The sequence below is a fragment of the Homo sapiens genome, chromosome 1, assembly GCF_000001405.40.
Source record: "Homo sapiens chromosome 1, GRCh38.p14 Primary Assembly".
In the NCBI taxonomy this organism is placed as follows: domain Eukaryota; kingdom Metazoa; phylum Chordata; class Mammalia; order Primates; family Hominidae; genus Homo; species Homo sapiens.
The window spans coordinates 224,858,747-224,875,108 of NC_000001.11; the positions used below are offsets into that span (position 1 = coordinate 224,858,747).

Consider the following 16,362-nt stretch of genomic DNA (forward strand, 5'->3'; position numbering starts at 1 on the left):
AATAAGGAGGAGAACCAGGAGAGTGCACATTTTAGAAGAAAAGGAGGAGAAGAGTTACAAGAAAGAGAGAGGTGAAGAGAAGGAAGGTGAGGACCAATAATGGGTGACAGGATTTGGAGAGTAGACATTAGTGACCTTCAAGAAAACAATTTTAGTAGAGAATCTTCCTGGCTTACTTTAATTCTTTAAACCTGAGTCTTTTTTTTCTCTCTCTCTGTAACAGGTTTACAAAATCTTTCATTTTTATCTATTATTGAGATTTATGTTAAAAATAGATTTCAGCAACTGTTTGGTAGTATAATTATTCCTATGACATCAGTAGTACATCCAGTACCAATTTTTTTTCAAGCTACCAAATGCCACCAAGAATTGCATATTGTACAGTGGCAGCAGCTGTTTTGCAGGCATTTAAGTATAGAACTGAGATGTTTTTCACAAAAAAACTTCTTGTATCCACATCCATGGACCTGAAAGGTGTTTGCACACCATATGCTTCATTTTCTTCAACTGTAGAGTAATAAATAACATTGTCAAAATCACTACTGAAAAGTATGTGCTCATTTTCTTGGGGGTGGAGGGAAGTGGAGTTCATGTTTCTAAAACTATTTCCTCATTTGAATTTATCTTCATCGCTCAGGAGAAAACTGTCCTTCTAATTGTCAAGGAACTGTAGTAGGTTGTAAACATCCCTGGAAATTCCAGTTTCGAATGATATTTCCTATAATGTCTTGAGTCTGAAGGATGAAATGGAAGGAGAGGCAAGGTAAGCCGCAAACTACCCACGACTCTTTTCTCACCCTATCGTCTCACATCCACCACCCTCATCACTGATTTCCTTCCCCTCTACATGCCCAGCCTAATCAATTAAAACAGCAAGTTTATTTTCATATTTACCATTGAGAATGAAGGCTCTTTAGCATAACAGGTGTTAGTTCCACAAAATATTTCTTGGAAGACAAAGACCACACTTGTTGGGGGTTTGATGAATAATTTGTAGGGCATGTTATTAACATGCCCTGTGCCCAGACAATGGTACATGAGTAACTGCAGAAGGAGATACTTGCTTTCCTCCTAAGAGCTCATGAAAGGGCTATGTCAATGTGCAGTGGGTGTGTGTAGCGGATGTGGGTGGGAAGATAAACTCTATCCTGATGAAGGGGCCCATGCCAATCTCCCGCTCAGACTGTGGTCACCTGCCATGATGGTGATTGATTTGGTGGGGTCTGGGTGGTTACAAATTAGTCAAACCCAGAGTGGAAAGTACTATTGAATTTAAGATGAAGTTGGTTTTTTCCTTCTTAATTGTGTTTCTTTTTGTCATTTCACCCCGCATGAATTTATCTTATTATATTAGGGTTCTCTAGAGGGACAGAAGTAATAGGATAGATGTATATATAAAGCAGAATTTATTAAGGAGTGTTGACTCACATGATCACAAGGTGTGGTCCCACAATAGGCTATCTGCAAGCTGAGGAGAAAAGAAGCCAGTCTAAGTCCTGAAGCTGAAGAACTCGGAGTCTGATGTTTGAGGGCAGGAAGCATCCAGCATGGGAGAAAGATATAGGCCAGAAGACTAAACCTATCTAGTCTTTCCAGATTCTTTTGCCTGCTTTTATTCTGGCTGTGCTGGCAGCTGATTAGATGGTACCCACCCAGATGGAGGGTGGGTCCGCCTCTCCCAGCCCACTGACTCAAATGTTAATCTCCTTTGGCAGCACCCTCACAGCACCCAGGAACAATACTTTGCATCCTTCAATCCAATCAAGTTGACACTCAGGATTAACCATCACACTTATACTAACAAAGAGGAATTAAATTAGTAAAGTCCCTGTTGGTTAGCCTGCTGACTGCTGCACTGGGGATGGGGGTGGTTCCTTTGCTGTGAGAACAGGTGCAGTGAGAGGAAGAGGGAGGAATAACTTTGCCTTCTTGAAGCTGGACACTTGATACTTTGATGTATTACCTCATTTAATCCTTATGGCTTTGAGGTAGACATTATCCTCTCCATTTTTAGATTAATGAACTGGAATATCAAAAAGGTTAATGAGGTTCTTATGGTCACACTGTTAATAGACGTGAGCCAGAACTTAAATTTAGTATTTTTTCTCCCTGCTTTTAAACATATTCTTCTGCTAGACTACAACATCACCACGAAAGAAAAGAGTTTTAACAATGGGGAGGGTCTCCTAGGTAACACTCAGACCAGAATATATTCAACATCTCACTTTGTGTGGCAGAAAACTTCAAAGCCTTTTCTATCGCTGCGGTGGCTCAGAGGATATGGGAATTTAATTCACAACTCCTGCAGTGCAAGCATGGCACTTTTTCAATAGCAATTTGGGACAGAAATAAAAATAGCAAGGACAATGGCAATGCAGTTGCTGAACACTCAGTAGCTGAAGTAGAATATCTCTTTAAGAAGAGGACATGGAAAAGTCACAGACAAGTTAGCACAGCGGATCAGCCTGGAAGCCAAACAGAGATCCAGACAGAGGACCCTGATTGGAGAGCTGGTTAACAAACTAGGAGACTCCAGATGGGCGAGAAACACCACTCCAGCCTCTTTTTTAAGGGCTTCATCAGTCCATTAGCCAAATATATTGTACTAGCTCTTAGAACTGCGTATGGCTCATTTCCAAAGAGTAATTTTGATTTCTTCACAATTCATACTTTTGTTGCCTTTGAGAACAATGTCCAGATATTCTTAGGAGATAAGTGAGTTAGGTGGGCCCTCGTGACATTTATAACTACAATATCATCCCTCACAGAACAGTGCCTGAGCAGTTACTGTCATTCTCATTTAACCAAATTAACCCTTACTTGGACACAACTTTTAATGCAATTTGATTTAAGGGTTGCATGACTCATTAGGCATGTCTCAAACAGTTCCCTTTCATCTGTAATTCCATAATTAAGGTTTTGTTTTGTTTTGAGACAGAGTCTCGCTTTGTCGCCCAGGCTGGAGTGCAGTGGTGCAGTGGCATGATCTCGGCTCACTGTAAGCTCCGCCGCCTGGGTTCACGCCATTCTCCTGCCTCAGCCTCCCGAGTAGCTGGGACTACAGGCGCTCACCACCACATCCGGCTAATTTTTTGTATTTTTAGTAGATGGGGTTTCACTGTGTTAGCCAGGATGGTCTCAATCTCCTGACCTCATGATCTGCCCGCCTCGGCCTCCCAAAGTGCTTTTTTTTTGCCTTTTAAAACCTGAGTCATCTTTTAAGACCCAGCTAATGACTTACTCCTTCTAGTTCCATTCTATAGATCTTATTTTCCTTCAACTTGCTATTCTTTCCACACAATGAATACTTAATCATATAGTGCAGGGGACCTCAGCTATCAACGCATATCTGCAAAAATGGTCCTTCAGCTTCCTTGCAAAGAAAAGGAGAGACACACAGTTCAAGGATGCTTGTTGATTGGCTCTGCTTGTCCCTGAATGTGGAAATGGCCTGGTCGATGCTAAATTAGGTTCAAGAACCAGAAAAGTCCAGAATTTCCTTCAGTGGAAATGCATTCATTTGTATAGGTTCTTCTTAACCAGTGATGTAAGCCCTCAATTTAAAAAAAAAAAAAAAAACACCAGGTACGGTGGCTCACACCTGTAATCCCAGCACTTTGGGAGGCCGAGGCGGGCGGATCACGAGGTCAGGAGATCGAGACCATCCTAGCAAACATGGTGAAATCCTGTCTCTACTAAAAATACAAAAAATTAGCCAGGCGTGGTGGTGGTCAGCTGTAGTCCCAGCTACTCGGGAGCCTGAGGCAGAAGAATGGCGTGAACCCGGGAAGCGGAGCTTATAGTGAGCCGAGATGGCACCACTGCACTTCAGCCTGGGCAACAGAGTAAGACTCCTTCTCAGAAAAAAAAAAAAAGAAAAAAAAAAAAAGACATAGCTGGAGATAGGCTTCTCTGACCTAGCAAGACCTTCCTTCCATGAGCTGCAGCACAAACAGCTAGACACCTATTAGGGACTTTGGGGACCCAGGGAAGTGTTATCAAGACAGGTTTCCTTTGCTTCTGTTGCGTGGGACCTCTGCATATCAGCTGCATTGTTGTGTCTTTTTAAAAATATATTGAGAACTTGGTCTAATCTTTCTCTCCCTCTGTCTCTCCACTCCCTATCCATTTATAGGTACTGAAATGTTGCAGTAACCAGCTAAATTAGCAACTTAATTTCTTTACCCAACATTATGTTTTTGAGATCTATCCATGACATAGAATGATAGATATACATACAGTCCATTCCTTTTTAACTGCTCTATAATAGATCATTGAATGACTCTACCAGATTTTATTTATTCATTTCCCTATGATGGACATTTAGATTGTTTCTAGTTTTTTTCCTAATGCAAGCAATGTAGCTGTCCATATCCTCATACCAGGTTCCTAAGAGTGGTTGTATGATTTATTCACAATTACTTATTTTCTCAGTCCTTGTCACTGAGCAATGGGTTTACTGTCTAATGTACATAGAAGCTAATACTATGGTACCAGCCTTGGGGAAAAAAAAGCTTTATTGCAAGGTTGACTGGCAAGGAGACAAGAGGCAATGTTGAAATATGTCTCCCCAAGCAGGGGTCTTGTGGAAGGTTTTATAGGGAGGGATTAACTATGAGGAAGAAAGGAAAATGCAAAAAGTCATGATTTGTTTGGGTTTTTCAGAGACGTGGTGCCTGGCCCCTGGCTCTTAAGTTCAGACTGCAACAAAACAGTGCTCCCCTTGCTCCTTAATTTGGTCTGTGCTCTGGAGTCCAGGTACTTAGGTTCTCTATGTGGTTAACTTTTTTGTTCCAGCCACCTCCAGGGTCACTAATCAGGCATGCCTTGTTCATGTGCACGTGTTCAGGTTATGTGACTTGCAGCCTAGGAGTTCACTGCAACTGAAAAACAACTTATTCTGTTATTGACAAAGTTGAATCAGTTGGAACTGGTTCTGTGGTTACACCCTCGCTAAGCTTCCCTATGGGTGGAATATCCTTCCCTTCTGCATTGACTTTGGGCTTGGCTGTATGACCTGCTTTGGCCAATAGAGCTTATGCCATGTCTAAGCAAAATATTTCCATGTATTTAGTGTGGTTTGGCTCTGCTTCCATTGAGGGTCTGTTCTCTGTTATAAGAACATCATACCCCAAATACTAGCTGTGCCTTTAGCCTGAGAGGCAGTATGAGACGATACATGCATCCATTTGTATAAGTTCTTCTTAACTAGTGATGTGAGTGCCCAAAAAGAACACAGGTTGAGATTGGACTTCTCTGACAAAGACCTTCCTTGCATGGACCACATCCCAAATGGCTGCCAAAATGAGCCCAGCCTACCCCGGTCAAGCCCAGCTGAGCCCGACAACACCCAGGGGAACCACAACCAACCTGCAGCCCTTATGCTACACAAGGAAGAGAGAAATGTTTGTTGTTGTAATCCATTGGAATTTGAGGATTGTTAGTTGCTGCAGCAAAAGCTGATTGCTACAAACATAGGTCCCTAAGAGTAAGCTGACATCATAATAAAACCTAAAATATGTAGCTTTGGCTTCAGGATACTGCAGATGTGGCAATCTATGTTATGCAGTTCATATGGTAAAACCATAAAAAATGTACCTAATGAACTTCTGGGTTTGGGAAAGGAGATTTCAAGGTAGAAAGCTCAGAATTATCAGTTGGTTGTTATTAGCTATATTAGATAAGGTACTAAAAGAAAGGGATATTCATAAAATAACCAGCCTATTTGTTTTGTGTTTTTTGTTTATTTATTTTATTTTATTTTATTTTATTTTATTTTAGATAGAGTCTCACTCTGTCATCCAGGCTGGAGTGCAGTGGCACAATCTTGGCTCACTGCAACCTCCGCCTCCTGGGTTCAAGTGGTTCCCCTGCCTCAGCCTCCCGAGTAGCTGGGATTACAGGCGTGCACCACAGTGCCCGGTAATTTTTGTATTTTCAGTAGAGATGGGGTTTTGCCATGTTAGCCAGGCTGGTCTTGAACTCCCGACCTCAGGTGATCCACCTCCCTCAGCCTCCCAAAGTGCTGGGATTACAGGCATGAGCCACCATGCCCAGCCACCAGCCTATTTGTTTTATTGTGCTTTTTTGTTTGTTTGTTTGTTTTTTGGTGACGGAGTTTCGCTCTTGTTGCCCAGGCTGGAGTGCCATGGCGTGATCTCGGCTCACCGCAACCTCTCCCTCCCAGGTTCAAGCGATTCTCCTGCCTCAGCCTCCCGAGTATCTGGGATTATAGGCATGCACATGCCTGACTAATTTTGTATTTCTTTTTTTTTAGTAGAGATGGGGTTTCTCCATGTTGGTCACAGCCTATTTGTTTTAAGGTAGAATTTATTACAGTAAAAACCATCCTTTTTAGTGTACAGTCTGTGAGTTTTGACAAATGCATACAATCATGTGACTATCACCAAACTCAAGATACAGAACCATTCTATCATACTAAAGAATCCTCAAATTCCCTTTGGAGTCAGCCGCCAGGCCCAGCCCCAGCCCCAGCCCCAGCCCCAGCCCCTAGAACTACTAATTTGTTTTCTCTATATAATTTTGAATTTTCCAGAATGTCCTATAAATGGAATCACACAGTATGTAGCCTTTGAGCCTGGACTCTTTCATTTAGCACAATGCATTTGAAATTCATCCACATTGTTGCATGTATCAAGAATTTGGTCCTTTTTATTTCTGAGTATTATTTTATTGTATAGGTGTACCTTGATTTATCCACTTGTTGAAGGACATTTGAGTTCTTACCAGTTTGAGGCTTTTAAAAATTAAGCCACCATAAATATTTTCATACCAATTTTTTTGTGAACATAAGTTTTTATTTCCCTTTATAAAGATATGAGTGAGATTGCTGGGCCATAAGTATATGTTTAACTTTATAAGAAGTGGCCAAACTGTTTCCAAAGTGGTTGTACATTGTACATTACCACCAATAGTTGCTCTGCATTCTTGCCAACACTTGTTATTATTAGTCTTTTCAATTTTAGCCATTCCAGTAGCTAATTAGTTGTATCTCATTGTGATTTAAGTTAGCATTTCCCTAATGACGAATGTTCAAATTATGTTGAACATCTTTTCATGTGCTTATTTGTCAACCATATATCTTTTTGGTGAAGTATATGTTCATATCTTTGCCCATTGTCTTAGTTCATTTGTGCTATGATAACAAAATGCCAGAAACTGGGTAATTTATAAACAATAGTAATTTATTTCTCACAGTCCTGGAGATGAAAGTCCAAGATCAAGCTGCTAATAGGTTCAGTGTCTGGTGCAACACCCAGTCTATGCTTCCAAGATGATGCCTTGTTGCTGTGTCTTCCAGAAGTGATAAACACTGTGTCCTCACATGATAGCAGGGACAGAAACAGTGAACTCACCTCCTCAGACCCTTTTATAAAGAACTAATCCTATCTATGAGGACAGAGCCTTCATTGTTTAATCATTTCCTAAAGGCTCTACTTCTTAATACTCTTGCATTGGGGATTAAGTTAAAATCAAGGGCACGGTCCCACAGAAACCTAAAGTATTCGTAATTAATTTAGAGAGAGAGAGGCAATTCTCAAAAAGAACTATGGGTCTCCCTTTTGCCACAGGAAACCAACAGAAACCAAATAGACAGCAAAACAGGAAAGTTACCGAGAGAATGTTTTGACAAAAATGCTACCAGCCTGCACTAATACAGACAGTCATAGTTCAAGAAGTAAAAACATCTCTTGGGCACCTAACTTTCTACAGATGAGGAGCAGGCCAAGAAAGGTTCTCAGCTGCCAAGCTGGGCATATTCTGCAGTGGTCTCTTCAGATATAGCCAAAGAGGATGATGGAAAATAAAGGACATCTCAGAGGGCAGAGCCAACAGCTATGGAAAAAATGTTTAGAGAACCACTTCCAGGAGTCAGAATCAGGGCCCAATCTAAGACCATGTTTTTACCCCATTTAAAGATTTTTAGAAAGGTAAAATAATGCCTCTCACACAGGTATAAAATGAACCAATGTTAAAAGATTTTATTTAACCATTATTAATGAGGGAACCCAGCAGATGTTGCAAAGAAAATTCTCAAAGAAGAATCTAAAAATCAGACACCTTTGTATATCAGGAATGTGCAAGTGGAGATGAAATCGGCATCTTTCACAGTTGGAGAGAGAAGTCAGTTAAAATTCTATTGGACAGAATTTTTTGCATGTCTATAGGTAAGAATTATTTTGCATTGCTATCATTTATCTACAATTTACAGAGTTGTAAAACAGCTTAAAGACAATGAAAGACACAGAGCTCTTACAGCATCAGAGTCAGACAAAGAAGAGTATATGTTCAACAATGGATCATTTTCCAATGAGGTATACATTTTTCCCTATAGCCCCCAAGATTTGTCCAGCAGGATTTCAGAATTGCTATGGACCACTGACTGGGCTATTGTGCCTCCTTTTGCTCCCCTTTTCAACTGGGAGTATTTATTGCAATTATCTGGTTCTACCATTGTATGATGGACACAGGTTGAGTATCCTTTATCTGAAATGCTTAGGACCAGAAGTGTTTTGAATTTTGTATTTTTTCAGATTTTTAATTATTTGCATACACACAATGAGATATCTTGGGGATGGGACCCAAGTCTAAACATGTGTGGAAAAGTTATAGCACAGGTGAAGGGGGTGGAAGAGTCTTCTTCCCTTGGAAATACTGAAAAAACTGTGCATTGTGTGCCTGCATTTTGACTGTGTGACCCATCACATGTGAGAGGTCACATGTGGAATTTTCCACTTGTGGCCTCATGTTGGCACTCAAAAAGTTTCAGATTTTGGAGCATTTCAGATTTTAAGATTGTCAGATTAGGGATGCTCAACCTCTACATAGGTCTTTTATGGCTGGAGGGGAACTATCACTACAATCAGAGCCTGATGAAGGTCATGAGGTCCTGGACTTGAAGCCTGATGTTGAATTGGATGAGGCTCTTGAGGTATCTTGGAAAGAAGATGAGTAAATTTTGTGGAGAGAAATGAATATTTGTGTCCAAGAAGGTAGATTGAGTAGACAATATCATTTAGTAATTATTCATTAGAATGCATTGGGACAGATTCTTTAAAGGCATTTTTGTGGTTTGGCTCTGCTCTCTTGATCTTCTGTTCTCCATCATAAGAATGACATGTCCCAGATAGTGACTAATACTCCAACCTAGGTCTCTGAATGGAAAGACACATGAAAGTTGGCTAAATTCAGTAGATCTCAGTCAAGCCCAGTAGAGTCCAGCTTAGTCTAGTAGAGTTTTAGCTGACCTGTAGTCCTCAAGTAAATGAACAAGAAAGAAATATTTGTTGTTGCAAGCTACTTGGGGTAGTAAAAGCTAATACATTTCTTACTTGCATCCTTTTAAGATAATTTGAAGGCATTTATCACATTTTAAAATGTTGTCAGATATTGAATAATTACTCTATGAGGTACTTACAGAAATTTACATGACCAGCAGTAGTATACAGATTTCCAGACTCATCAACTTTGGTATTTTCATGTATTTTTATTTTTGCTCATGTAGTAGTTGAATGTAACACTTTTATAATCTGAAACAACATTGAAATGTTTGCTTTAAAAATAAAGTGATGAGGTTCTGGCTGGGCGCGGTGGCTCATGCCTGTAATCCCAGCACTTTGGGAGGCTGAGGTGGGCGGATCACAAGGTCAGGAGTTGGAGACCAGCCTGGCCAACATGGTGAAACCCTGTCTCTCCTAAAAAAAATACAAAAATTAGCCAGGCGTGGTGGCGGGGGCCGGTAGTCCCAGCTACTCGCAAGACTGAGGCAGGAGAATTGCTTCAATCCAGCAGGCAGAGGCTGCAGTGAGCCAAGATCGCGCCACTACACTACAGCCTGGGTAACAGTGAGACTCTGTCTCATAAATAAAAATAAATAAATAAATAAATAAATAAAGTGACGAGGTTCAAATGAAGGGAAGCCCACTCTGATGCCAGATCTAAAGGATGAAGATGGGGCTGACCCTGCCCTGGGAAATAGGAGACAGAAGGGGAAAATCTGGGGTCCTGCAGATAAGGAGCATGTGGAGGCAGTAGGGATAGAGAAATCTCAGAAGCAAAGGTGGAAGCTGGTGACAACAGGGTCCAGGATGTGTATCATGAAAAGAACCAGCTTATCTAGCGCTCTCAACCCTGGGATGCCAGTGATGGATTATGGGCCTGCCCCTCAGATGTAAAAGATGCACTGGCTTAGGTACACATTGTTTTAATCTAAACTTGTTTCTCACTTTTTCATACCACAAGATTATTGTGGGATGAATGGTAGTGTCAAGAGAACCAGACTGGAAGTTAGAAGACCTGGGTGTAGGTCCCTCCTGATAAGCTGTGTCTCTCAGCAAGTCAGTGATCTCTACGAAAACGAGGGATTTGAACCATTTGACTTCTAAGTTTCTTCCAAGCCAAAAACAATGATTTTACTATTTAGTGAATCAATTTTTCTAGTCCACAATTTTGCTGTGCTAGAACAGTAACCTGCAAATCTTCAGGGTCTAAAACACCCCAATCTTATTTCCTTTCACTTGTTTACCTTGCTGGATTACCCTGAATAAAAGGACAAGAAGGCATATCTTTTTAAAAGTCAGAGGTATGTTTATCCAAGTAAAAGAATATGTTCACAAAAAGACTAATACAAAAATGTTTGCAGCTGCTTTATTTATAATAATACGAAATGGACCAGGTGTCCATCAACAGGAGAATGAATAAACAGTGCACTGTAATCTTACAATGGAATACTACTTAGCAATAACAAGGAATGAACTATTGATACATACAACATAGATGAATTTTAAAACATTGTGCTAAGTGAAAGAAGCCTTACAAAAAACAGTACATTATATGATCCTATTGCGATTATAGAGCAGTCCAAACAAATCTATGGTGGATGGTAACACTTTTATAATCTGAAACAAACAACATTGAAATATTTGCTTTAAAAATAAAGTGATGAGGTTCAAATGAAGGGAAGCCCACTCCGATGCCAGGTTGGTGATTGCATCTGAGAGGTGGGGGCAGGGATTGACTGTGAAGGGGCATGAGGGAATTTTCTGGGGTTTATGGTAATGTTCTGTATCTCAACAGAGGTTTGGGTTACAAAGGTTAATGCATTGTTCCAAATGCAGTGAATGTACTCCTTCAATGTATATACATTTAATGTCTGTAAAATTTACATAAAATACTGCAAAAAATCAAACTTTATTATGAACCATATTAATTATATGCACATTGAAGTATTTCAGAGGAAGTCTACCGATGTCTTCACTTTACTTTGAAATGCATCAAGCAACAAGATGGATTCATGCCTGAATAAAAGGATGGCTAGACAGACATGTAATAAAGCAGGCATAGTAAATATTAATAATAGTATTTAAGTGATGAGTATACCAACGTTTACTGTAACATTCTTTTAACCTTGTTATTTGCTTGTAATTTTTCATGATAAAATATTGAAAGAAATCAAGGTAGTTGTTGTGTTTGTAATTTTAAGAATTGCATTAGATGATGATAAAAAGACATATATATGAGTATTATGAAATCAGATTAAGAATCACTATTGTCTTATTTCAAAGGTCCATTAAAATCTGTTATTAAAATTAACAGATGCTGATGAGAATCTGGAGAAAAAAGAACTCTTATACACTGTTGGTAGGAATGTAAATTAGTACAGCCACTACAGAAAACAGTATGGAGATTTCTCAAAAACTAAAAATAGAACTACCGTATGATCTAGGAATCCCACTATTGGGTATTTATCGAAAGGAAGAGAAATCAACATTTCAAAGATGTATCTGCACTGCCATATTTATTGCAGCAGTATTCACAATAGTAAAGATATGGAATCAAACTAAGTGTTCGATAGATGAATAGATAAGGAAAATGTGGCATATATACACAGTGTAAACTATTCAGCCACAAAAAAAGAATGAAAAATCATGTTCTTTGCAGCAACATGGATGGAACTGGAGGTTATTATGTTAAGTGAAATAAGCCAGACACAGACAGACAAATATTGTATGTTCTCACTCATAAGTCAGAGCCAAAAAGTTGATTTCATCGAGATGGGGAGTAGAATGATAGATACTGAAGGCTGGGAAAGGTGTCTGGATGGGATGGGGGAATAAAGAGAAGTTGGTTAATGGGTGCAGACAGTGAGATAGAAGGAATAAGTTCTAATGTTTGATAGCAAAAAAGAGTGACTATAGTTAGCAACAAAGTATTGTATAGTTGAAAATAGCTAGAAGAGAACACTTGAAATGTTCCCAACACATAGAAATGATAAATACTAGAGGTGATGGATACCCCAAATACCCTCACTTGATTATTACTCATTCTTGCATATAACAAAATATTACATGTACCTTATAAATATGTACAAAATTATGTATTGGTTAAAAAAACACCCTTGTAGAGGCAGAATTATGTATCTCTACATCTCCCAACAGTGAGCACTTTATTCCTGATTTGCCAAGGAGCTAGTCTGATGGACAGAAAGAAGTGTGGTAGACCTTCTCTAAGATGGTCCTCATCTCCTGGTATTCATGCACTGTGTCAGCAGTCCCCTTCTCTGCAGTGCGTCTGGACTTACCAATTCAGTTATCATGAATAAAACATAGCAAAAGTAATTGGATGTCATCACCAAGCTTAGATTATAAAAAGATCATAGTTCTCATCTTCGGCATTCTCTGGCTTTCTCTCTCTCTCTCTCTCGGATCAGCAGTTTCCATGTAGTGGGGACACTCAGGTAGCTACCTGGGCATGCTACTTGAACTCTCTGAGCCTCAGAGAGGCTCATACCCATGCCTACCTCATAAAGTACTAAATGAGATAAAGCATATAAAGCACTTAGGAAGTGCCCGGCATAGAATATGTGTTCAAGCAATTCATTTATTCATTCAGTGTAGACTTCTTGGGCATTTAGTAGTCAATAGTACATGTCTGATGCCATTCTAGGCCATGGGGATCCTGTGGTGAGTGAAAAAAGTCCTTGCTCGGATCGAGCTTACAGTCTGGCGAGGGGAAAACAGATGTACAGTGCAGGTGGCAATAAGGTCTGTGAAGAAAAAGTCCAGCAGGGGAAGGGGATCGCATGTGTGAGTTTATAGAAGATGGTCACATTTGGGTGTGAACCTCTGCCTGCTTTGGGGAAAGGTGCTCTAGGCAGAGGCAACCACAGCCGCTAAGGTCCTGGGTTGGGGTCTTGTTTAGTATGTTTAGAATAGGAAGGAGTTGGGGCCGAAGCAGAGAGAGATGAGGGCAGAGAAAAAAGTCATGGGGGCCAGATTCTGCAGGGCCTTGAAGGCCATTGTTGAGAGTTTGCATTTGACTCTGAGTGAGGGGAAGCTATTGGAAGGTTTAAGGTAGACCAGTGATATCATCAGACTTATGTTTTAAAAGCATTACTTTGTCAGAGCAGATGGATGGAATACAGGTTGATTGCTGTTTTTATTATTATTACTAGTATTCTTTTGTACATCTTTCTTCTCTGGGAGAACCAAGTGTTTTTCTTTCCCTCAGAACAGGTATAAAAATGTGAATAAATCCCCCCGAGGTGCTGTCATATGGTAGAGAGCAGTATTTTGGGGCTGTCTTATTTTCTTATAAAGCTAACTTCTCTTCAGAGCCTATTATAATTTTTTAGTCTCAGTTGAGGGACTTGAGAACAATATATTTAGATTATTTTCTCAAAGAGCTATTGGTACAGATTTTAAACAACAATCAGTGTGTTCAGTAAAATCACTCATGGCCTTATTAGTCATGCAGCACTTGTGGATTGGTCCAGAAAACAGAATTTAGAGGATGGGTGCATATGTATATGTGCATGCTTGTTTATGTGCATAAGTGTGCATGTGTGTGCAGATGCACAGGTACGTGTATGTGTATTACAGTCCTGGTGTAGGTATGTGAGTGAATGTGTTTCTATGTGCACGTGTATGGCACATGCACGTGTGGCATATGCATGTGTGCGCATACATACATGTGTGCGTATGGATGACAGAGTGTATTCTCTATGTGTGCACATATGTGTGCTTTATGTGCATTGTATGGCTTGGGTGTTGCATATTTATAAGCATGTGCAGTGTTCATGGGCCTCTGTTTGATGCAAAACTAAGAAGTGGCTCGTCACCATCTCTGTCCTTGATATATTTTCAATCCAGTTGGGGAGATTCAATATAGAAGCAGCTGTGAAATAGCACTGCCATCAATAGGTCATCTTTTATTGGACGTTTTCTACAAAGTGTGTCATTATTCATGAGAGTATGCTGCAATAAAATATGGTCTTTGTTTTCTTTATCCACAAAGTTAAAAGGTGGAATCGAATAAGTTTTAGGTTCCCTCCTGTCTAAAGTATGATTTAAACACTCATTTTCCAGTATTACAACCATCATTTAAAAGTCTTTGAGAAAAGCAGCAACTGTAAAAAATGTTGCAGTGTTGAGCACCCTGGCCAGGCTTCTGCAGTTTGGAGCATTTTCTCCAGCTCTGGGGCTGCAGAGCTGAGGTAGGGTGGCTCCACCTCCTTCTCCAGAGAAGTGACTAGAGCACCTTGAAAGGCTAGGGAAAGGCTAGAGGCTTTAGGGACTCATCCAGCTACTTCTGCCCAGGTCCACTTGTCACCAGGCTTGATGAGTGTGAGTAACCCATCACCTTCACGCATTGACCTCCCTGCATCACTCATTCATTACTCATTCATTTATTCTCTTTCCTTTCTCTTCTCCCTCCTTGTCTCCTCTCCTATTCACTCCCTCTCCTTTCACCAACTCTCCCCTCCTCTCCTTCACTGAGGAGGCAGGCAAGATCAGACACCCAGCTGGGGGCTGGGCATAAAGAAACATGCATCTGACCTTTTCTACATGACAACTGTGGAAGTCTGCTGCTAAATCTTTCATATGATCTGCAATTCTTTTTTCCCACCTACAGATTACTCCACGCTTCCTAGCTCTTGTCATAAATCCACAGATGCCTCATTTCACAATAAGGAAAACTGAGCCAAGACGGGTTTTAGTGACTCATTTAAAATCTCACTGCTGCTTATGGCACCTCTGATTATCATCCCCAAATAAAGTTTAAAAGCCACCACATCATGGGCTATTTTAAAAGATAAACTTAGGCACATTAAAACTTTAAAGAGTATATTTGAGTAGACAGGAATTCATGAATCAATAACACTGGACCACCCATGGTTCAGCACTCCACTGTGGGGGACCCGGGAGGCAGAGAGAGGAAAATTTTATAAGGTGTTTGGGGAAGTAAAAAATATTTACTTTTATATAAAAAAAAATTTGGCTAAAGTGGAAAGTTCCTAGTTAGAGGTTAACTGGTGGTTTCTGATTGGTTAAGCTTAAGTTTCATTTTTCTGTTTATATTGAGCTTAGGTTTGCTTTTGCAGGAATCTGAGGCACAAGAGTCTTCTCAGCCTAATGGACTCACAATTTTTTTTTCTTTTTAACAGCTACAGTCCATTTACAGGTTAATCTTTAGGTGAACTCTGGAGCTGAGTTCAAAGTCTTCCTTGTAATCCTGGGAAAGAAGAAATGAGAGGCCAGACCTGGCAATTTCTGAGCCATGGTCAGAGAGCAAAATATGAGGATCATGTTGACTGTAGACCTAATGCATTTTTATTTTAAAATCCTTTTTCTTAACGAATCCAGACCATTGAAATCTATCTGTAATGGGTTTGCAATTCTACTGGATTTCCTACCCTCACTCTTTTAAATATTGATTTGATATTGCCTTTAAAAGTTATATTTGGAGCTTGGAGGATTTTAGACTTCTAATATAATATTCAGTAAAAATTGAAATATGGAGGAGATGTGATGAAATAGCTGGTGACAGCAACTTCCACAGTGTTCAGTTCATTTTAGAAACAATATGAATGATTATTAAATGAATATGTTGCTCTGTGTATATACATTTATATATAAAGTCCCATCAAAAGTGGGAAAATGACATTTATAATAGCAATATTAAATGTAACTATTAAATATAAATATTGAGTCAAATTAACAACTAGTAGGGTTTTCATTTTTCTTTTGCAGTGATTTTTCTTTTGACATGAATGCCTGAATGGTTTCTGCCCTAAGCTGAATAAAGGGCAAGGCTTCCCCTCTGGCTGCCGGGCTGGGTGACCAGACCGCACACTTCAGTGCACCTGTGAAAAGCAGATTATGAGCCGTGTTAGTCTTGCGGCGTCTGTTCTGGAGAAGGCTGTATTAGTCTTAAGGCCCCGAGAAGGCTGTGTTAATATTAAGGCACGTGTTCACTGTTGGGAGAGGAACAGCCTTTTGCTCAAAATGCTTGATTTATTGCAGGAACAAGCCAGCTTTCTGAGCAAGTCTGTCTGGCTTC

At 40.0% G+C, this 16,362-nt stretch overlaps 1 annotated feature.

The window, feature by feature from the left end:
* Nucleotides 474-1,673: an enhancer, noted in NCBI's record as "MED14-independent group 3 enhancer chr1:225046922-225048121 (GRCh37/hg19 assembly coordinates)". NCBI's record gives its function as "activates an origin of replication core promoter dependent on BRD2, BRD4, P300/CBP and CDK7 cofactors, and independent of MED14, by STARR-seq in HCT116 cells {active_cell/tissue: HCT116}" and the evidence as "EXISTENCE:reporter gene assay evidence [ECO:0000049][PMID:35650434]".